A 22415-nucleotide genomic window follows, 5' to 3' on the forward strand; every position below is an offset into this window, starting at 1 on the left:
ATCCTACGTGGACCACGTTACTCCTGGGCCACCCTCAGGCCTGTCTCACCCCCGGGTGCCTGTGCTCTCAGCAGACAGTTGGGGGTGAACAGGCCCACTGGCCCCAGGCACACACCTGCCCTCTGTACCTTCAAGGAGCCATTGTAAACAGAGTAAGTGAAGTATTTGGAAAATGCCTCTTGAAGGTGGGCCCTGCCGAGGGCTGGGGGAGTGTGGCAGGTTCCCTCGGTGGGGAGCGAGGCTGCAGAGGTGCCTGGCTGCTGGGTCTCATTTCAGCTTAATGATTATGACTTCCTCCTCCAGACAGGCACATTCCTGTCTCTGACCTTGCCTTGCAACCGCTGTGGGCAGGGTGGCTAGGTTTGACTCAAATGCAAGGAAAATGGAGAGAAACTTCTGGAAGCTACATAGATAAGAAACCTAAGGAAGGGGAGACAGAGGAGAAGAAGAGATAGGTGTGCATCTCCAAACACCAGCCCAAGGCAGACTCAGCGAAGGGGCAGAGGGCGTGCCCAGCTGTGCAGGAGCAAGGGTGGGCGAATGGCGGGAGAAGGAGCAAAGGCAGGAGCCAGGTGCCAGCCTGGTCCTTGGTCCACAGTCAGGGGTCCTGGAACTGCCCAAGGCACTTGGGGGCAAGTGGGTCGGAGCAAGCAGGTAGTGCGTGGCCACAGTTTCTGTGTTTGAGATCTTTAAAAATATTCATAATAGGCTGGGCACGGTGACTCATGCCTGAAATCCCAGCACTTTGGGAGGCCAAGGCGGGTGGATCACCTGAGGCTAGGAGTTCAAGACCAGCCTGGGCAACATGGTGAAACCCCGTCTGTACTAAAAATACAAAAAAATTAGCCAGGTATGGTGGCAGGCACCTGTAATTCCAGCTACTTTGGAGGCTGAGGCAGGAGAATCGCTTGAACCTGGGAGGTAGAGGTTGCAGTGATCCGAGATCATGTCATTGCACTCCAGCCTGGGCGACAGAGTGAGACTTCACCATCTCAAAAAAAAAAAAAAGAAATCATAATAGAAAACATTCAAAATGTCCAGCACGCTTTTGAACTAGAGAGCAGCGGGCTGGGAGCCCAAGTGTCCTTCGTCCCTTTGTGGTTGGTACCACCCCTGGCCACTCCTGTCTTGGGGAGCCGTGTCCTCCCTGCCCCCGCCCCCAGCCACTCCTGTCCTGGGGAACCGTGTCCTCCCTGCCTCCACCCCTGGCCACTCCTGTCCTGGGGAACCGTGTCCTCCCTGCCCCCGCCCCCGGCCACTCCTGTCCTGGGGGACCGTGTCCTCCCTGCCCCCACCCCTGGCCACTCCTGTCCTGGGGGACCGTGTCCTCCCTGCCCCCGCCCCCGGCCACTCCTGTCCTGGGGGACCGTGTCCTCCCTGCCCCCACCCCTGGCCACTCCTGTCCTGGGAGACCGTGTCATCCCTGCCCCCGCCCCCGGCCACTCCTGTCCTGGGGGACCGTGTCTTCCCTGCCCCCGCCCCCGGCCACTCCTGTCCTGGGAGGCCGTGTCCTCCCTGCCCCCACCCCTGGCCACTCCTGTCCTGGGAGGCCCTATCCTCCCTGCCCCCGCCCCCGGCCACTCCTGTCCTGGGAGGCCGTGTCCTCCCTGCCCCCGCCCCCGGCCACTCCTGTCCTGGGAGGCCGTGTCTTCCCTGCCCCGCCCCCGGCCACTCCTGTCCTGGGGGACCGTGTCCTCCCTGCCCCCACTCCCAGCCACCCCTGTCCAGGGGAGCTGTGTCCTCCCTGCTCCCCACCCCTGACCACTCCTGTCCTGGGGGCCCGTGTCCTCCCTGCCCCCCGCCCCTGGCCACTCCTGTCCTAGGTGGCCGTGTCCTCCCTGCCCCCCACCCCCCCGGCCACTGGATGACTCTGGAGCAGGTCCCAGGCACGTTCTCATTCTGTCTGAAACACGCCAGGGTCCATATCTGAAAGAAGAGGACTGGAGAGAAACAGCCCAGGGCAGTGCAGGGGTCCAGCTGCAGGCTTTGCAGTGTGCCTCCTCCTGGCTGCGTGTGGGAGCGCCCAGGCCCTTGCCCACTCAGGTGAACCTTTTCCAGGCTGTCTATGTCAGAGCCACCTTCATGGGGACGTTTAGCCCCCGGGGTCTGTCCTGGGGCCCCAGCTGGGGTCCTAGTCTGGCGGCACCTGCGTCTTGAGCTTCCAGGGTCAGCTTGGAGCCCCAGACCCATGTCTCCAGCGTAAGCTGGAGCACAGGTGGGGTTGTGTGACCTCCTTGAGACTCTTTTGGAGCTTCTGTCCTCCTGGATGGGTGCTTGTGGGATCCCAGCTTCCAGCACCTGGGCTCCGCTGGCCTCCCAGAACAGGCGTCCCATGCCTGTTCCTCATCTGTCAGTGCTGGGACAGACCCCAAGCAGCTCCCACAGGGTCCGTCCAGCGGGCGGGACAGATGGAATCACCCTGCCTCCACTCATGCCCTGGGAACTCTTGCCCCAGCAGCGAGAGCAGCTGAAAGTGTGGGAGGTCGGGCACCCAGAACGGGGCAGCCACAGCCAGAGTGCCCTGCCTAGAAGCTGCTGGTTCCCGAAGCCAGCGCCTTATTCCTGGGCTGTGGCCACAGCGTGGGTGATACATGTGCAAGGAGCCGTTGCGGTGCTGCTCCGGGTGGCCTTGTTGAAGCCGCACACCTGTTACCTGGCTCTGGAGGAGGAAGTCTGAGGACCCAGCTGGAGAAATCGGGTCGCTGCTGTCCTGTGGTGGGACACTCACTCGTGTGCTGTCCCTCACCAGGTCCCTGGCAGGATGCAACGTGGAGGGCGACTGTGTGGCATCCAGTGTGGGGCCCAGGCAGGCCTGGCTGTGCCGGGCATGGCCCCTGCTTTCTGTCCCATCAGCAGGGTGTGGAACGGCCGCCTGTGCCCAGTCCCTGGGCTCCAGGCATCGGGCAGCTGTAGCCTGTAACTCGAGCCCGTCCTGGCTTGCTGGGGCTGTGAGCTGGGGTTTTTGTGGAGCAGACAGGATGACGAGGCCCCTGTTTGGAGTTTGCTGTGGCTCACTGGGGCTGTGAGCCGCGGTTTTCATGGAGCAGAGAGGACGACAAGGCCGCTGTTCGGAGTTTGCTCACCTCGGTTGCGGCAGACCCTTCTGCCCGGGGGCCAGTCTCTCCGATCTACTCAGTGTGGCTCGTGGAGGCGCCCGCAGCCTCCACTGAGGTGTGAGGGCCTGGCTCTGGCACGGCCAGCCGGACACACGGGGCCAGCACAGTTCCAGGGTTTTCTTCCCTCTGCAGCCTGAGGAGATCAGGATCACAACCATCAAGAGACTTAGCGCCACTTATCCAGTTCCCTTTTTTTTTTTTTTGAGATGGAGTCTCGCTCTGTCGCCCAGGCTGGAGCACAGTGGCGCGATCTTGGCTCACTGCAAGCTCCGCCTCCTGGGTTCATGCCATTCTCCTGCCTCAGCCTCCTGGGTAGCTGGGACTACAGGTGCCCGCCACTGCGCCTGGCTAATTTTTCGTATTTTTTAGTAGAGATAGGGTTTCACCGTGGTCTCGATCTCCTGACCTCGATCCACCTGCCTCGGCCTCCCAAAGTGCTGGGATTACAGGTGTGAACCACCGTGCCCAGCCTCCATTTTTAAGATATTTCTTAAAGCCAGCCTTACAGGGGCTCTGAGGATATCCACATTCTCTGAGATGTCCCTGCTCCCCACAGAGGAGGCTGGGTAGACAGACACGGGTCTTATGCTGGGGGCTCCGTCGCCCCATCTGACTGCTGCGTCGTCCCCATGTCCAGAAACTGCAGCTGCTGGTCCCTTTCACATGCCACTGCTGCCATCCTGGGGCCCCTGGGCACCTCTGGGGGAACTGAGTGGTGCAGACCCAGGGTGCCACAGGTGGCCCCTTTGAGCTTTTGGTGTTTTTCTTCTAGGCTGGTCCAGGGACCCTCATCATGGCCACAGGAGTCCAGGACTTTAACCGGACAGAGTTTGATCGACTGAATGAGATCAAAGGTCACCTGGAAATTGCCTTATTGGAAAAACATTTCTTACGTGAGTACCAGAAAGCGCTTGGAGGGGATGGGACAAGGTGGGTCAGGGGTGGCTGAGATGGGGGATGTCGTCTTGCCCAGGAGCTGGGTCTGGTGAAGACCCACGCAGGCTCCATCGCTGGACACGAGCCCTGGGCAGCTGTGGCTCCGACGTGGCCCTTTGGGCTGGGTGGTCCCGGCACAGCCTCTGTCTCTGTGTTTGAGCCTCCCTTGCGGCCCTGCTAAGCCGGCACTCAAGGTTGCTCCACAGGGGCTGGGGGCGTGGGGGCCTTTCCCCTGCGGGGTAAAGGAGAGTCTCTGGGGAAAAGGAGTGAAATGTTCCCAGAAAATTGTAATTATTTTAGTGAATTGGTCCCTTGCATTCCCAGTGGGTGGCTCGGACTTTTTCAGAGCTTTTGGAAGGACTCTGAAATCTTATGTTTGTTCTGGTTGGTTTGTGTCTCCAGGAGGGAGGTGGGGCAGTAGGCTCTGGCGTCCACTGGCCTTGGCCAGGCGTGCCTGGTTTGCTGGGCTTCGGACTCTGCAGCAGTGAGAATGGCAGAGATTCTTACAGGAGGGGCTCGCAGGCTTGGCCCCACTTGGTGTATCGCTCTTGAGCCTCTCTCCCCACCTGTGTCCTCCCTGTTGTCCAGATGTGGAAACTGAGGCACAGAGGGTTCACAAAGTGATGCCTGACTAGTAAGAGGCCACTTACCAGTAAGACAGTGCCAGGCAGATGAGTCCCAAATTTCCTGCCAGCAACCCTGCTGTGTGTGGTTCTCACAGCTGACTCTATGGTGGAATTCTTGTTATTACGCTCCTGTGTGTCCAGAGCCAGTCACTTGTGAACCACATGGAGCCCCCATTTGTGACAGGCAGGGGCTTACGACCGGGGTGCACAGGTCACTTCCTTCTGGGTGTCGTGCCCAGCCAGGGTCTTTTCCATGCTGTGTACCAGACAGCCAGTGCCTTTGCCAGAAGGATTGTCATCTGGGTGCCCTGTCCTTGGTTACCAGTGCTCTCATGTCTGTGCGCTCACCTGGTGCTCAAGGGTCCAAGGCCTGTCCACACAGCCTTGTGGATTCACCTGGCAACAGGCCAGAGCGTGATAGTGAGCCTGTGTATGTACAGCACTGGACTGTGTGTGTGCTTAGATGGCGTAATGAACTCTGTGTGCTCATGTTTGTGTGGCTATGGTTAACGGTGTGTGCGTGAGTGTGTGTGTGTGTGTGTGTGTGTGTGTATGTACAGTGGTGGTTAACTCTGTGTATGCATGTGTGTGAGTAGTTAACCACGGTAGTAGTTAACCGTGTGTATGTAGACAGTGGTAGTTAACCCTGTGCGTGCCTGTGTGCCTGTGTGCAGCGGTGGTTAACCCTGTGTGTGTGTGCACGTGTGTGGTGGTTAACCCTGTGTGTGCACGTACGTGCACGTGTGTGGTGGTTAACCTTGTGTGTGCGCATGTGTGCAGTGTTAGTTAATCCAGTGTGTGTGTGTGTCTGCGTGTGCAGCAGTAGTTAACCCTGTGAGTGCACATGTGCGGCAGTGGTTAACCCTGTGTTTGTGTGTGAGCGTGTGCAGTGGTAGTTAACCCTGTGTGTGTGTGTGCAGCAGTAGTTAACTCTGTGTGTGTGCGTGTGGCGGTGGTTAACCCTGTGTGTGCGTGTGCATGCCCGTGTGCAGTGGTGGTTAACTGTGTGTGCGTGTGCATGCCCGTGTGCAGCAGTATTACCGTGTGTGTGTGTGCATGCCCATGTGCATCAGTATTAACCGTGTGTGTACACATGTGTATATCCATCTGTACTCTGACAGCTTTCTTGGGCCCCTGAGGACTGGACACTGGTCGTTCTGAGGACAGCTCTGGTGACACACTATGGCTGTGGTGTGGAGTGACTCGGTCTCTCCATGAGCCTTAGGTTGCATAGAGCCAGCTTGGGCAGAGAGGGGCTGGCCCGCATGGGCTGCCGACAGGGTTCAGTCCTCCCGATGACCGTCCTGGTGACCTGCCGCCTGCGACCTCACCAGCCTGCAGTGGTGGCTCTGCTGGAATTGATGGATCTCTGAGAATGGAGAGGCTGGGCTCTCCCTGGGCGGTGGCAGCAGGGGGCTGGCCCTTGGTTGACTGTCCAGCTGGGCCTGTGCATGGAAGGTATGCTATTTGGCCTGGAGAGCATAGCTCAGCAGACGCTAGTTAAGTCATCAACCACCAGAGGCTGCCTTATCCGCTGAACCTCACGAATTGCCTTTCTGTGAGTTGAAGTGGTTGAATATTGACGGTTTTTCAGTCATGGGGCAGGGGGTCAGTGTTTCACTTTCAGGGAGCAGGTGCTCTTGGTGCAGGGCAAGGATCTGTGAGCATCAACAGAGACCCTCTGCTGGGGCCCGGGAAGCTTCAGGAGAAGAGGCGAGCTGGCATGTGGGGTGGAGGGATGGAGGGACGCCTGTCCAGGCAGATTCGCTTTGAGACGTTGTTGATAACAAAGTTGCAAAATGGAGACAGCTGAACCCACAGGGCTGCCTCTCTGGGGCCGAGCAGATCCCGGAGGAAATGAGGCCACCTGGTCACAAACAGAGCTGCTGGCGTCCCTGGACCAGCACTTGTGACTCTGTCCTCAGCATTTGCCAAAGGAGCATCTCCTTTTACCCCTTGGTAGCTCGTGAAGTAAAAGTGTTGGGTTCACCTCTGACAGCCTGTGGGGTGGTGAGCACGGGGATTATTTTTTAATTATGGAAAATTTCAAATGTATCCAGAAATGGAGCAAAGAGTGTCATGGGCCTCCCTGGTTGAAACCCACCACTGGCCGCAACAAGATTCCCAGCAAGATTCCGGACCAGGCAGGCTTCCCCGACACGCCCTCTCCCTGCCCCCAACCCCCTGCCCCGGCCCCCCGCCCCCCGCCGAGGTTTTGGAGCAAATCCCAGCCAGCATCCTCTCATTTCAGCTGTAAATATTTCAGTGGATAGCTCAGTGTGTTTTAAAAACAAAAGCCACGAGTCTAATATCACAACTGAAAAAAGCAAACAGCTTTTCGTTAATACCATCAGCTGTCCAACTTAAGCTCAAATTTCCCTGATAGGGATCGAGCCGCTGCACTCCAGCCCGGATGACAGAGCGAGACCCCATCTCTTAATTTTGTTTATTTATTTATTTAGAGATGGAGTCTCACTGTGTCGCCCAGGCCGGAGTGCAGTGGTGCGATCTCGGCTCACTGTAACCTTTGCCTGCCGGGTTCAAGCGATTCTCTGGCCTCAGCCTCCTGAGTAGCTGGGATTACAGGCACGCACCTCCATGCCTGGGTAATTTTTGTATTTTTAATAGAGATGGGGTTTCACCATGTTGGCCAGGCTGGTCTCGAACTGTTGACCTCAGGTGATCCGCCTGTGTCAACCTTCCAAAGTGTTAGGATTACAGGTGTGAGCCACTGTGTGCGGCCCCATCTCTAAATAAATAAATAAGGAAGGAAGGAAGGAAGGAAGGAAGGAAACAAATAAATGTCCCTGATGAGGTCTCAGATTGCTTTGCAGCTCTCTGTGAATGAAGAGTCAGATGAGGTTGGTGTGCTGTGCTCGGTGGTGTCTCTCTCCGGTCTTGACCCTGCGGGTTCTCTGCGCGTCACACTTTTTGTCCTTGGTAGACCAGGTCACCTGCTGGACAGTCTCTGCTCTGGACTGTGCTGAAGGCGGCCTAACATGGTCCATACCCTGTGCTTCCTGGTCGTGGCGGGGTTGGGTGACCCTCGGGGGACTATCCCTCTGTTGGTGGTGCCGTGTGCTTCCATGAGGCAGTCTCTGTTTAATGTCACAGCTTTGATGATTATTGCTCAGAGCCATCATTTCATTAGAGGTTGCAGAATGGTCATTTTCTACTTCCGCTATTCTCTCTCCATTTGTTAGCCGACACATTTCCGAAAACAAACTTCCCTTTGTCTGCCGTTTGGCTCCGCCAAGGAGTAGTTCATAGACAAGGGGCAGGGTGCATGGTTGGATTCCCCCCTCATTTTCCAGTTTTCAAAATAATGAGTTGCATTCTCTTCTGAGAGCATCCACCAGAGAGGGTGTTGGGCTCTCCTGGGGTTTTTGGTATTCTCATGAGACAGTGAATGTAAACATATTTGGTGTGTTTTGATCATTCTGGCTCGTATCTGATTAATGCTCAAATAGTTCTGCCTCTGGGCCTCTTTCAGTTGGCTTCTGAGAGTCCTTCTGACACAACCCAGTTGTCTCTGAGAGATTCCTTGCCTTTCGGTGTGACCAGATATCCCAGGCTCATCGCCAGCATTTCCTGCCCCAGTCCTGGAATTGACCATTTCTGAAATAAAGCCCTGGTTTCTTTTGGTGGAAGCTGACGTTGATACACTCCATGGGGATCCTGGGGCATTGATGGCCGCTGGTGACCTGTCGTGTGTGGACCTTCTCAGTGGACAGGGCTTGGGCCTGAGGAGTTCATACAGATAATTCTATTGGAATTCACACCAGGACTCCTAAGTGCCTGTGTAACCTCATCAGACTTTTATTGTATCTTTGTTTTGCTGAAATCTTGGTTCTCAGTGAACATCATCGGCATTACACATTTGTTTGATCCCTTGATAATACACACAATCTCAAAATAAAATATCACAAGATTACTCAATGCAGTCTCTATTTGTTTCTTGTTCTTTTGTCCTTAGGGCTTGTCCCACTAGAAAGGTACAGATTATGGTGTTTGACAGTCACTGGCAAGACTTTTTTCTTCCTTTGAGGCTGTGTTATCAAGTCAGTACAGAGTTGGGTGCATTTGTTTCTTTTCACCTTAGATTTCTAGAGATGGCTTTTTTTCTTTTAAATTTTGACATGATTTCAGACTTACAGGAAAGTCACAAAAATAATACAAAGAATTCTTGTGTATTTTTCATCCAGTTATTCCCCAAAGGTTAATATTTTACCGCATTTGTCTGTCTGCCTCTCTTATCTATCTATCCATCCATCCATCTATTTATCCATCCAGGGATCCATTCATCCATCCATCCATCCATCCACGCATGCATCTATCCATCCATCCATCCATCCATCCATCCATTCATCCATTCATTTATCCATCCCTGGATCCATCCATCCCTGGATCCATCCGTCCATCCACCCACCTACCCATCCATCCATCTATCCATTTATCCATCCATCCATCCATCCATCCATCCATCCATCCATGCATCCATCCATGCATCCTTCCATCCATCCATCCATCCATCCATCCATCCATCCATCCATCCATCCATCCATCCATCCATCTATCCATCCATTTATCCATCCCTGGATCCATCCATCTATCCATCCATCCAACCATCCGTCCATCCGTCCATCCATCTATCCATCCATCCATTCATCCATCCATCCATCCATCCATCCATCCATGCATCTATCCATCCATCCATCCATCCATCTATTTATCCATCCATGTATTCTTTTTTTCTGAGCTGCTTGATGGTCAGTTGCAGACACAATGCCCCTGCATGCTAAATACTTTTGTAGTATTTCCTAAAGGCAAGGATATTCTCTTATCTAACTTCAGGACAGTTATCAAAATCAGGAAATTAACATTGATACAATGCTATTATTATCTGGTCTGAGATCTTATTCCAACTTCACTATTGTCTAGTAATGTCCTTTGTAGCAAAAGACAGTTCTGAGTTGGGATAGTTTCATGCCTCTTTCGTCTCCTTTCACCTGGAGCAGTAGTTCTTTGTTTCCTGATATTGACGTTTTTGAAGAGCACAGGTCAGTTATTTTGCAGACTGTCCTCAATTTGGGTTTGTCCCGTTTCCTCATGAAGAGACTCAGGTCATGCGATTATGTCCGGGTGCCACAGACATGATGGCGTGTCCTTAGTGTCACATCGGCAGGTACATGATGCCATTTTGTCCCATAATGCATGATGTAGAGAATTCTTTTTTTAAGTTAAATTTATTCATACAGCTATCTAAAATCGTTTCCATGGTTCCAAAGTCAAGGTATATTCAGAGAAGTCGAGTTTGTCTCCTTGCACCCCGCCCCCATTTCCTCTCTTCCCCTGTAGATAACCAGTTTTCTTCTAATTTTACACTGTATTCTTCCAACTGAAATTTTTTATAAACATGAGCATCTATATTGGTTCTTACCTTCCTGCTTAGGTAAATGTTAAGGTGCTCACACTTTCTGCATACTCACATTATATCCTGTAGGTCACTCCAAGATGGTACACAGAGATAATCCCTGTTCCAGGTTACACTTGCCCCTGTTCTATGTTACACCTGTCCCTGTTCCATGTTACACCTGTCCCTGTTCCGTGTTACAACTGTCCCTGTTCCGTATTACATCTGTCCCTGTTCCATGTTACACCTGTCCCTGTTCCGTGTTACACCTGCCCCTGTTCCGTGTTACACCTGTTTCTGTTCCGTGTTATACCTATCCCTGTTCTGGGTTACACCTGTCCCTGTTCCAGGTTACACCTGCCCCTGTTCCATGTTACACCTGCCCCTGTTCCGTGTTACATCTGTCCCTTTTCCATGTTACACCTGTCCCCGTTGCAGGTTACACCTGTCCCTGTTCTGTGTTACACCTGCCCCTGTTCCGTGTTACACCTGTCCCTGTTCTGTGTTACACCTGCCCCTGTTCCGTGTTACACCTCTCCCTGTCCCGGGTTACATCTGTCCCTGTTCCAGGTTACACCTGTCCCTGTTCTGGGTTACATTTGTGTCCATGGTGTTACTGTAGCATGGCTTCATCCACTTGTCCACTTGTTCCCTGTTTTTTTTTTTTTTTTTTTTTTTTTTTTTTTTTTTTTACTTTGTTTTGTTTTTGAGATAGGGTCTCGCTCTGTCACTGAGGCCGGAGTGCAGTAGCACAATCCTGGCTCACTGCAGCCTCAACTTCCCAGGCTCAAGCAATCCTCCCACCTCAGCTTCCTGAGTAGCAGGGACTATAGGCACATTGCACTGCACATGGCCTTTTTTTTTTTTTTTTTTTTTTTTTTTTTTTTTGTGGAGACGGGGCTTCACCATGTTGCCCAGGCTGATCTTGAACTCCTGGACTCAAGCCATCCATCCGCCTCGGCCTCTCAAAGTTTATTACAGGCGTGAGCCACTGTGCCTAGCCTTGCTTGTTCCGTTGATGGACAGTTGTACTGTCTCCAGGAGTAGAGGATGTTAGTAGTTACTGATAGTTCTTCGCAGGCTGTCTGCACCTGGAGGATATGGGATGAGCTTGTTTTTATACCCCAAGCATGATGTCTTGGGTATAGTGGGAGCTTGGTGAATGGAGGGATTAATTGCAGATTAGTTGGAGTTCGCCCAGCAGAACCTGTGCCTTGTCCCATTCTCACTCCCATCTCAGTCCCCAGAAGGATATAGAATGTGAGAGAGGACATTATGTAATCTGGGGACCCACAGACATATTCTGGTTGTCACTAAGCCAACGTCTGTGTGCCACTGTGGCCATCTCTGCCTCGCCTGACCTGCAGGAGGGCGTGCTGACATGGAGAGCTGTGTTCAGGAGTCAGGACCCAGTTCTAATTCTTGACTCAGGCGCTGGTTACCAGGTGGCTGTGAGCATTTACCCGTTTGGGGCCTCAGCTCCCCCACCTGTAAAGCAGCTAAGTGGTCAGTGTTAAAATCCCACTCAATTATCTATAGTGCTTTCTCTCAGAAAGCAGAGTGTTACTCTTCATGGAGGAGAGGAAATGGCCCAAGCGTGCCGCAGCCTTCTCTGATGATTAAATCCTGAAGAGTACAAATGTTCCTGCAAGCAAATGACACAGGATGAAGAATGTGAAGTTGAAATGGGTTTTGGCTCATGGCTGAAGGCAGGAGCCTAAATTTGTTAAAGAAGCACATAAATAAATTAAAAGCATCATGCGTTTTTATTTAGCCCAAATGCATTTCGGTTGCTAGTGCTTTTTGAGCGCGGTTGCCGTGCATGCGTGTGCATCTGTTGGTCACTAGTCACCTGCTGCGCGCAGGCTCTGGGAGGTGAGATTCCCCAGGGTTGTAAGGTGCACACACAGCCTCTACCCAAGAGCACTGTGATGTAGAATTTGGATTTTGGGGGAAAGTGCTTCTGAGGACCCTCGGGGCCAGGGAGCTTCTCTTCCTGGGGGCTTCCCGGTTGCTAGGCTGTGTAGGGGAGCCCTCGTGACTGCCTTTCTTCTTCCTGTGTTGCTGGAGAGGGCTGCAGATGCCTCCCTGGCTGAGCTGGAGGGTGCTCCCCTAGGCTACCACGCCCTGTCTCTGGGCATGGGTACCCTCGTAGCGCCAGACACGGGTGGATTCCCGGCAGATGCACTCACACGGGCAGTGGCAGTGGTTCCTCAAGAGTGTGACTTGGAGAGAGACTGCCTTTTCCTCCTGAGCCCCTGATGCTCCCAGAAGCTCCCTTTCCTGCTGTGACATACAGGGATCAGAGTGGCTGGCCCTTACGCCATGGGAGATCTTCTCGAAGAAGCTGGCAGGAGGGGCTGGCCATCTGCTTCCTGAGGCCTGCAGACCTTCCTCTGAATGCTCAGTTTTAATGGAGGGGTCCTGGAGCGGAAGGGAAGTTTCTAGGTGGCTGTCCTGGGTGATTCAGAGTGAGGAAGACCTTCCTTACCATTGAAGTCTTCTGGAAGCAGAAGGGTCTGGGGAGCTGCCAGCTCCCTGCTGGCGGGGGTGTCCTTTTGAGGCCTGATGGAGACAGGCTTAGGTGTGGGGTTGACTCAGTGTCCCTGGACTTGCCCCTTTGGACCTGGGCCTGTGGGTGTGGTTCTTGGCTCAGGCCTTTTAAACTCTGCTCTTACAGTTTCTCTGGTGGTGAAAAGCTAAACTCTGTGTTAGTGTGTTTTCACGCTGCTGATAAAGACATACCTGAGACTGGCGCTTTACAAACAAAAGCGGTTTAATGGACTCACAGTTCCACATGGCTGGGGAGGCCTCACAATCATGGCGGAAGGCAAGGAGGAGCAAGTCACATCTTACCAGATAGCAGCAGGCAAAGAGAGAGCTTGTGCAGGGAAACTCCCCCTTATAAAACCATCAGATCTCGTGAGACTCCTTCACGATCACAACAAGAACAGCACAGGAGAGACCTGCCCCCGTGTTTTAATTACCTCCCACGGGGCCCCTCCCACAACACTTGGGAATTCAAGATGAGATTTGGGTGGGAACACAGCCAAACCATATCAGACTTCCAGGGCCAGACACTGGGTTGGTCTGGTTCTGCCCTAGAGTGACATGTTTAATAAGTGACGACTGTGAGTGGGTGACCCAGACCTACAGAAGGGAGCAGACAGGCAGAAGATGAAGACAGGTGGCACTGATACAGCAGCGTGTCTATATTATATGGAATTTCCCTAGGAAAAAATGAAGTTGGCCCCCAATCCCTGTTTCTCCATCACCTCCATTGCCCCATGAACTCCTGTCTGCTCTTTAATTACACATTGTGGATGTTTGGCCCTGGGATACTTCATTGCCCAGGACAGATCTTTGAGTACAGGGGTGAGCTGACCCTACCACACCGAGTTCCTGGCCTGTCCTGTCCCTGGAGCTCACACCTCAAAGGAGAAACCCCTGATCCTGCCAGTGGGGGGCCTCCTCCCTGCTGCCCCCAGGGGCTGGGATGAAGTCAGAGAGGGAGCCTGAACACACCTGCCTGTGTGTTTTGCAACGGCTGCAGGTCCTGGGTCCAGCATTGTCGTCTGACAGGTGTTTTGGATGATGCCTGTGTTGAATTCCATGGGAAGTGTTAAGTCGGGAACCACTGCCCACCTCTGTGACCTCTCTAGTCACTGCGTCCCGCCCTGCTGAACACATCCCAGCTCCCTGGCCTCACAGCCAAGGTCCTGCATGCAGTGGGTGAGACATTCCCCAGGCCAGCAAGCCTTCCCGTCCTCTGCACCTCATCTGTAGATGAGGCTACATGGCAGAGATGGGCTCTCTCGTGGCACATGGAGAGTACTGATGCAGCAGTTGGCATGTCCTGATGTCCCAGCTCTGTAAGGAGACCCTTATTTGTCATATTCATCTACCAACTGGAGTCATATGGGAGGGAGTAAAGGTAGCTGCTGCCTTATCTGTGATTTCCAAGGGCCTGGGCCCAGAGCCTGGCAGCTACTGGATGCTCAGCGCACAACTTTATGTGTGTCTATATGGATGGATGGATGGCTGTGGGTAAGTGGATAGGTAGATGGGTGGACGGGTGGGTGGATGGGTAGATGGATGCATTGCTGGAAAGATGGATGGGTGGATGGATAAATGGATGGATGAGTGGACATGTAGATGGATGGATGGGTGGGTGGATGGATGGATGGATCAGTGAGTAGGCAAACGAATAGGTAGATTAGGTAAATGGATGGGTAAATGTTGGGTGGATGGATGGGTTGATGAACAGACAAGTGAGTGGATGGATGGATGGATGGATGGATGGATGGATGGATGGATGAATGGGTGAGTGGATGGATAGATGGGTGGGTGAATGGCAGAGGGATGGGTAGATGGATGGGTGAATGGGTGGATGGATGGATGGATGGATGGATGAGTGGATGGATGGATGGATGGGTGAGTGGATGGATGGATGAATGGATGGATGGGTGAGTAGATAGACAGATGGGTGGGTGAATGGGAGAAGGGATGGTTAGATGGGTGGGTGAGTGGATGTGTGGATGGATGGACATGTGGGTGGATAGATGGATGGATGATTGGATAGATGGATGCATCAATGAGAAGGCAAACGAATGGGTAGATTTGGTAATGGGTGGGTAAATGATTGATGGATGGATGCATGGATGGATGGATGGATGGATGGATGCATGGATGGATGGATGGATGCATGGATGGATGGATGGATGCATGGATGGATGGATGGATGGATGGATGGATGGATGCATGGATGGATGGATGGATGGATGGATGGATGGATGGATGGATGCATGGATGGATGGATGCATGGATGGATGGATGGATGGATGGATGGATGGATGCATGGATGGATGGATGGATGGATGGATGGATGGATGCATGGATGGATGGATGGATGGATGGATGGATGGATGGATGGATGGATGGATAGGTAGACAAATGAACCAATAGGCTGTTTCCTCCACCAGGCATACTCTTTTGCATATACTTTAAGGCCTTACTGGCCACCTTCCAGAGCTCCAGATGCACCACCTTGCTCCCATTCTGTCTGGTGTTTGGTCCCAGATGCAGTTTTATCTGTGCCACCTTTGCTTCCTAGTGCTTTGGGGCCTAGAGTCACCAGCTGGAACTGGAGTTGGGGAGTGTCCCTGATTGCCCCTAGCCCACACTCAGCAGGGAGCAGGTGCTTGGCAGAGAGCCTGTTGCTGTGGGAAGGGACTGGGGGCCTGGAGGGCTTGGCTGCTGGGTGCCAAGCGCTTGGTTGGAAAGGGAGGTTGTGGGGGCGAGGGATGGCACGTGCTGTCGAGCACACGACTCTCCTGGCTCCGTGCTGGGCCGGAGCCCCAGAGTCCAGCCCACAGGCTGTCAGATGCCGCGTGCCTCTCACAGGGAGAGGCAGGCGTCGGTTTCTGAAAACCAGCTGCTCTGGGTGAAAACCCTGGCTGGGATCCTAGTTCTTCTTATTTGACGTGGTAAAAATGTCAGTACATTATCTGTCCACCTTAGATCCTGCATTGGTGTCCTGAAATGTACCTAAAACGGTGGTTGGCCAGCTATGTGCTCAGCAGCCTTCAACATTAGGATGTGACGCACTTGGAAGCTTGCTCCTTCCTGGTTATCAGCCAAGACAGTGTTGACAGTTGATCGTTCAGTAAACATTATCTCTGCACATAGCGGTAAATGACACCGCAATAAATAAATGTTAGGGAGAAAATGCAGGCAAAACTTCACAATAAAAGCGAGGCATTTCTTGGAATTCTCTGTTTTCCCTGAGCAGGGAGGGCCACGGGAGGAAGGGGTTAAAAGGGCTGCCTCTGTGCTGGTGGCTGTAGATGAAGCCGTACTCTGGGCTCTGCAGTGTAACTTGCAGCCTGGTGATTCGATGGAGGGAGTGCCTGTCTTCTAGAAAGTTCCTGTGGTGATGGCAGGAGGGCTGAATTGGGCTGGGAGAGTTCAGGTGAGAGTCCGGGGGAGGTGGCCAGGTGGGGCCTCTGGGTGTGCGGGCCTCCGGGGATGCGGGACTCCGCCAGGCCAGGAGCAGCTTTTTGGGTGGATTCTGAGTTCGCGCCCCTGGCCTGGTGGGAAGGAGTTTTATTTAAAGATTATCACTTGATTTTTATTTTTGGGTGAGGCTGGGCCTGTTGAATCAGTCGTGTGCCAAGAGGACTCCTGCCTGAGAGATCTACTTTTACAGGTTTAAAAATAGCCGCAGAACTGCTTTCCTTCCTCCCAGTAACTTCCCTGTGCGCTGAGTGTCGAGGCTGGGTGGAGGGCTGCGTGTCGAGGCTGGGTGGAGGGCTGCGTGTCGAGGCTGGGTGGAGGGCTGGGCGTCGAGGCTGGGAGGAGGGCTGAGCATTGAGGCTGGGTGGAGGGCTGAGCATTGAGGCTGGGTGGACGGCTGGGCCTCAGCCCCACAGTCTGGGCCTGTGTAGGCCTGAGCCGATGCATCTCCTTTGCCTCCCCTCAAATCAGCGTGGCCGTTCACTCATCAGAGAACGTTCTGGGGGTTGCCCCGGAGTGACCAGTGAGGTGGTTGTCCCTGCCCTTCTCCTCGCAGATGCTGGGGAGGCGTGAAGGCTGGAGCAGGTGGGTGCACAACCAGCCTGGCTGTCCCAGGGCTTCCTTTAGCCTCTGTGGGGGCGATTTCTATGTGCCATGTGTCGCCACGCCAGGCTCTTGTCCTGTCCCGGGGGCTCCTAGTCTGTGGCTGATTCTGCTTCATTCCTTGGAGAGTGGTGGCTGGTGCTGACTGGAAGTGGGTGGGGCTGCCTGCAGGACCAGAGTCACTCTTCCTTGTGAGCGTCCCTAAACCTTGCGCTAGAGCTTGACCCCTGACTGCAAGACGCCTGTGGGTCTGAGGGTCCCTCTGGGCACGCAGAGTGTCCCCTGGGCTTCCTTCCATCTTCCCCTCTCCTCGACATATTTTTCTGCCCAGTGGCTCTTGTGATAGGTTGGAGTGGGGGCAGGCCCTGGCCCATCGGGTGGCCATCCTGGTTTCCCTGTGTGCCACGTACCCGGGCCATCTCGCTTTCCTTCCTGACAATGAGACGGCTGATGTGCCTTCCTAGGCATCGGGGGAGCAGACCCCTGGATGAGAACTCACGAGGCAGGCACAGATTTCTCTTTCCAGGAGCTCCCTTGGGACTTAGGTTCTAGGTTCCGACTCACTCCTTGGGCAGGCATTTTGGGCCCCTGGCCTCCCACTGGGTTCCTTGCCATTTGGTGGCTGCTGTGACCAGGTCTGCTGTGCACTCAGCCTATTTCGGCCGGCCCTCGACCCTGGAAGAGGCGCAGCTCACTGGGCTGGAAACAGTGCCATGGGATCTGCACAAGCTGTGGCCTCTGATGTGGTGGCTTCTCTGCTGCTGCAGGGCTGTGACTTTCTGGTCTGATGTTGCGGGCCACGGCTCCTATCCCTGGGTCTCCGCCTGTGACTTGGCCCCCGGCAGGTGTGATATCACACGCATCCTGGTGCACCCGGGCAGCCTCCCATCCCTGTGCGGCGTGTATGGCTGCCACCTGGACTCTGCTCACACACGTCTTGCACATGTCTGTGCCCAAGACAGGTGCAGGGGGTCTTGGGAGAGCAGGTGCCCCGTGCTGCCATTAGGATGCGCTGTGGCAGGTCATGCATTTGTGGGCCACGTGGGTGACTCTGGAACACCTCCTCCATCCGTGCTGTTCACTGCGGGGGTTTAGAGAGGCTCGGTGTGCACTTTTCTGGTGGGGCCGCCTTGGTGGCGGCACTGGGGAATCCTGCTTCAGGTGCCTTTGAGGGCGGAGCTGGAGGTGGGGGGGAGAGAGACGGAGCTAGGGGCTGCCAGGGACGCTGTACTCCTTTAGGGCTCCTGGACCCACTAAAGGAGGGCTTCCAGTGGTTTTATGACCCAAGGACTGCCAGGGGCAGGAAAGTCCACGCCGGGCCAGGTGGAAGGAAGAGGACTGTCCCAGCCTGCCTAGGCACTTGGTTCCTTTGCTTGACACGATTGTCTCGAGGGAGAGTGTGGTTGGCACACTCATGGCCCCACAGAGTGTCCATGTCCCCCCAGCCTGTGAATGTGGCCTCCCATGGCAGAAGGGACTTTGTAGATGTGGATGAGTCGCCGACCTTTGGTGGAGATGGTTCTGGATTATCTGGGGGCGCACAGTCACCACAAAGGTTCTGAGAAGGAGATGGCAGGAAGGTCAGAGGAGGCCATGTGAGGGTGGGGTTAGAGGTCACAGTGACGTCATTGCTCCCTGGGGGCCGCAAGCCAAGGAGCACAGGAGCCTCAGGAAGCTGGAAAGGCAGGAAATGGGTCTCCCCCTTCCCGGAGCCTGCAGAAGGAACAGCCCTGCCCACGCCATGAGCTCAGCCCAGGGAGACCCAGGCTGGACTTCTGACCCCAGAACTGTAAGAGAATACGTTTGTGTTGTTTTAAGCCACTGTGTTGGTGGTGAGCCATGGGAAACAAATGCAGAGGTCACCAAGGGGCTCCGTGGCCTGCCCTGTGTGTGGCCTCGCTCCCACCCCCACCCTGCAGGACACCTTGGCCCTGACCTGCAGGGCAGGGAGGCCTGTGGGTGGGGCAGCCCGGCGTCCTCAGTGTCTGTGAGCAGCTCGGGGCACAAGGAGGCCCACTCCGGAGGCCGAGGGAACCCAGAGCCTCAGCAGCAGCTGCAGATTTTCGGTGCCTGGACAGGGGCCGGGGCTGGACGAGAGGAATCTGCCGTGTGAATAGCAGCTCAGTAGTTTGCTCCGGGCTGGAAATCGGCCCTCCTGTTTCTTTTCTTACTCGGGAAAGAGAAAGAAAAATTGATGATGGGGGATTTGCATCTCCTTTGTCCTGTGGAAAGATACAGCTGTGCTCGGCACACTGCAGTTGACCTGAATGTGTCGCTGGTGGGCAGGAGGCAGGCCGGTGCGATGGAGTCGTGGGGCGTGTGATCATCATTTCAGTTTCGGGAGAGACAGCAGCTTGGCCTTGCAGGGAGCCGTGTGCTCAGAGATAGGAAGGACTCATGGGAGAGCAGCGGTCAGACGCTCCAGCTGGTTTCGTTTACTTAGCTGTCTTTGTACCATCAGGAACGACACTGGGCAAAGGTGGGAAGCCTCATGGCTCTTCCGGAAGCTGGGACAGGCTGATTTGCCACGCTGTCCGAGGAGCCCTGTCTGCAAGGCTGAGGGGGCCGTGCCGCCCGCTGCCCCGGGAGCCAGGCATCCTTTGGGCTCTGAGCAGCGAGCATGGCGGGGCTCTGGCGTTCACATGGCGTCCTCTGGGCTCTGAGCAGTGAAGATGGCCGGGCTCTGGCGTTCACATTTGTCAGGGCTCTGCAGAGAGCCTGACCCCAGGAGGTCCAGGGTGGAAAGAGGGGCGGCTGCCTGAGACCCCTTTGACCTCTGAACCCAGGCTTGTGAGTGTGCTTTTTCACACAGGCAGGCATGACATGGCATCCCAGGCTCCAGGAGGGACCCGTGTCCGCATCCATCCACATCTGTCCCTGGGCTGGGACTGGCCACCTTGGCTCAAGCTTTGGCCAGTGCTCTGCCGCGTGGTGGAACCTGGCTGGCTGCTGCCCTTTCACAGCTTAGTGACTCCAGGAAGGGGCGTAGGGGGCAGCCCCATTTAGGAAAATGTGGTTTCCTGTTACCCGTGCAGGGAGGGGCCAAAGTGCCTCTCTGACCTATGGATGGAGAGGCATGTGGGCTGCCTTGACCTTGACAGGGCCAAGATCAGAGGAGGTGATGTGTGGGTACTAGGAGTTAACCTGGGAAAGTACCTGAGCCTTCCCGCCTTGGCCTACTCCGCCCAAGAGGCCTGCCGGGAGCAAGCCTGCCCAGTGTGACTTGTCTCACCTCTGTGTTCCCACGTGATAGAGTCACTGCCACAACATGAAGACAGAGGCATGAGATGGAAACACCCCGTGGCTCTCTCTGAACCCTCCCCAGCTGGCTCCGAATTTGGGACTGAGCCAGGCGGACGCTCCCTTTGGGGAGAAACACCGGCTGACGGGGCATTTGGTTCCTTCCTTCGCTTATCCAGTGAGCCTTGATTAAGCCCCTTCTGTATGCCAGCCACACCGAAAGAGGGGCCAGGAGGCTGAGAATCGGGTCTGTTGGAGGTGGCTGGGGGGTAGGGTGGGAGGGCAGCATCCATCTCAGGTGGGCCAAGATGCCCAGGCTCTCCTGGCTGTCAGTGGGCGTGTGACCCCTCGGAGGAAGGGTCCCCAGGCTCCTCCTGCCTTGGGGCATGGACCCGCCCACCAAGGGCTTCAGGGCCAGCCCGGGCTCACGCAGTGGGTTCACATGCTCCATGCTGCTCTTGGGGACCCACCCAGGCACCCTCTCAGGGCAGGGTGTTGTCCCCTCTGTTCATGGTGGTGTCCCGGCGCCTTGGCAGAGCCCGGCGTGTGATGATTACCTGAGTATTTCTGACGAAGGTGTGCCAGAGCCGGCCCTCAAGTGGCTCCACGAGGGCGGGGGGCTGGGGGCTCGTGCCACATGCAAGGTTGGCAAGGGGCTGGGTGGAGGTCCCTGCAGGGGGTGGGGTTTGTGGACTGATCCCCGTGTTAGGGCTGTGACACCGAATTCCCAAGTCCCCGCCTGCCTCCACTCCGTGCACGGCCCGCTGGTCAGCACATCTGCCCTCCCTGCTAGACGCACTACGTGAGAACTGGCCAAGCTCCCCTCCCAACCACTCTCCCTTCCCCACATCTTGCTGGTTTCTCCTTGGGCCAGGCTGGGTCTTGGGGCCAGAACAGATGGTGACACCGGGGTGGTCCCTCCTCCGGAACCTGTGGGGTGTGTTGGGCACAAGTCAGGGAGGCCTGCAGGTAATGGAGGCTTGGAAACGTCACACTGTACCAGGAGGTTGTGTGCCATTTCTGGGAATCCCCACCCAGCACACGGAGTGGGAATCATGTCCCCAAGAGGAAAGAGCAGGACCCGTGAGAGAAGATGACAGAAGGCTACGCCAGATGGGGGGGCTGTTGGGGAAGTCACTCGGGGAAGTGGTATTGGGGTCAGGACTGAGGCTGAGGGACAGCTTACCCTGGAGGGTGGAAGAGAAGCTTCCTCGGGAGCAGGGCCAGCACATGCAAAAGTCCTGGGGCAGGCCCGACCCTCGGCAAATCTGAATATTTTCTGGACATTTGAGGACCTAAAAGCAGGTCTCTGTGGCTTAAGCCCAAAAAGCAAAGATGAGGGGTGGTGTGGAGGGTGCTGAGGCTGGGAGTGGGTGGGTGGGGGCCTCGGGAGGGAGCTTCAAGCTGGGAAGTTGGATTCATTGCCAGCCCGGTGAGGAGTTCTAAGCGGGAAAGCAACAAGTTCTGGCTTGTGCTTTACAAGCAGCCTTGGACCTCAGCTTGGAGCCGGACGGGAGGGTGTGCCAGGAGCTGGGAGGCCGGTTAAGAACATGGGGATGGGGCTGGGGCAGCTGAGAGACCAGCAGAGTGGATGGATCTGGGATCTTGGAAGAAAGAACCCCAGATGTGTAGGGGGTGAAGGGCCCCCGCCCAAATGTGGCTGGCACTGCTCCCCTCTGCTGTAAAGGAGCCAGCCGGCCGCCCAGAGAGGGCTGGGGGGTAGCTCCCTCAGCCCTGGAGACGTGTCCCCCACAGCCCTGGGTCAGGGGCCCTGCAGCTCCTGCCACCTCCTTCCTGCTGCTCTGAACTGGAGCCCCAGGCCGGGCTGGACCCTGCCCCTAATTCTGACCCAGAAGCCTCCCCAAGGCCCTAGGCAGAGGCCACCTGCCTCCCTTCTGACCCCGCCTTTGCTCAGCTCCGGGACTGAGCACTTGGTACCTTGCAGCCTGTCCTGAGCCCTGGGGAGGCACCGGCTTCAGCTAACGCTCTGCCTGGCCATGTCAGCGGGTCGGGGACCTCCGTCCGCGGAGAAAAGTAGCCGTGCCAGGGCCAGACGCTTCTCCCCAGAACGGAGGCGGGGCGGGGAGGGGGAGCTCTGGAGGGAACCAGCCTGATGAGACTGGGCAGCCCGCAGGGACAGGCCCAGTGCCCCCCACCCCAGCCTCCACGGGGAGGGTCTTCTCCAGGCCAGCTCAGCTGCCCTGGGGGGCTCTCGGGAGTCCAGGATGCTGAAGGACACTGAAACCATGCTTGGAGAAGGGCCGATCCCAGCGGGCCGGGGAGCAGGGCAGAGCTCCAGCACCCACACTGGGCAAGTGGATCCTGGCCCTTGGTAAATTCGAATATTTTCTCTCTGGTTAGTAACAGCGAGTAACAGCATCCAGCACCCCCAGTGGGAGTGGGGCTGGTGAGATGCAGGTGCCTGTCTCTTCCCTTTTGGGTACCGTGAGCCTGTGGCTGCCGGGC

General features: G+C 55.5%; 1 protein-coding gene across 17 annotated transcripts in view, besides 1 other annotated feature; it reads left to right on the forward strand.

Moving 5' to 3' along the window:
* The window catches only part of GRAMD4 (GRAM domain containing 4), a 107013-nt gene that overhangs the window by 58208 nt on the left and 26390 nt on the right, over positions 1 to 22415 (forward strand). For 16 of the 17 annotated variants that reach the window (XM_006724169.2, XM_047441210.1, XM_011530012.2 and 13 more), the window contains one exon: positions 3889 to 4009. In XM_006724169.2, the coding sequence (XP_006724232.1) occupies positions 3889 to 4009 (121 nt within the window). Of the gene's footprint in view, positions 1 to 3888; positions 4010 to 15933; positions 16063 to 22415 lie in introns of those variants that run through there. The other variant, XM_047441212.1, reaches the window with a different exon arrangement.
* Positions 4941 to 5235: an enhancer, noted in NCBI's record as "tiled region #10248; HepG2 Activating DNase matched - State 5:Enh, and K562 Activating non-DNase unmatched - State 23:Low". NCBI's record gives its function as "activates a minimal TATA promoter and a strong SV40 promoter by Sharpr-MPRA in HepG2 and K562 cells {active_cell/tissue: HepG2 | K562}" and the evidence as "EXISTENCE:reporter gene assay evidence [ECO:0000049][PMID:27701403]".

Source organism: Homo sapiens, chromosome 22 (assembly GCF_000001405.40).
Source record: "Homo sapiens chromosome 22, GRCh38.p14 Primary Assembly".
NCBI classification, from domain to species: Eukaryota; Metazoa; Chordata; class Mammalia; order Primates; family Hominidae; genus Homo; species Homo sapiens.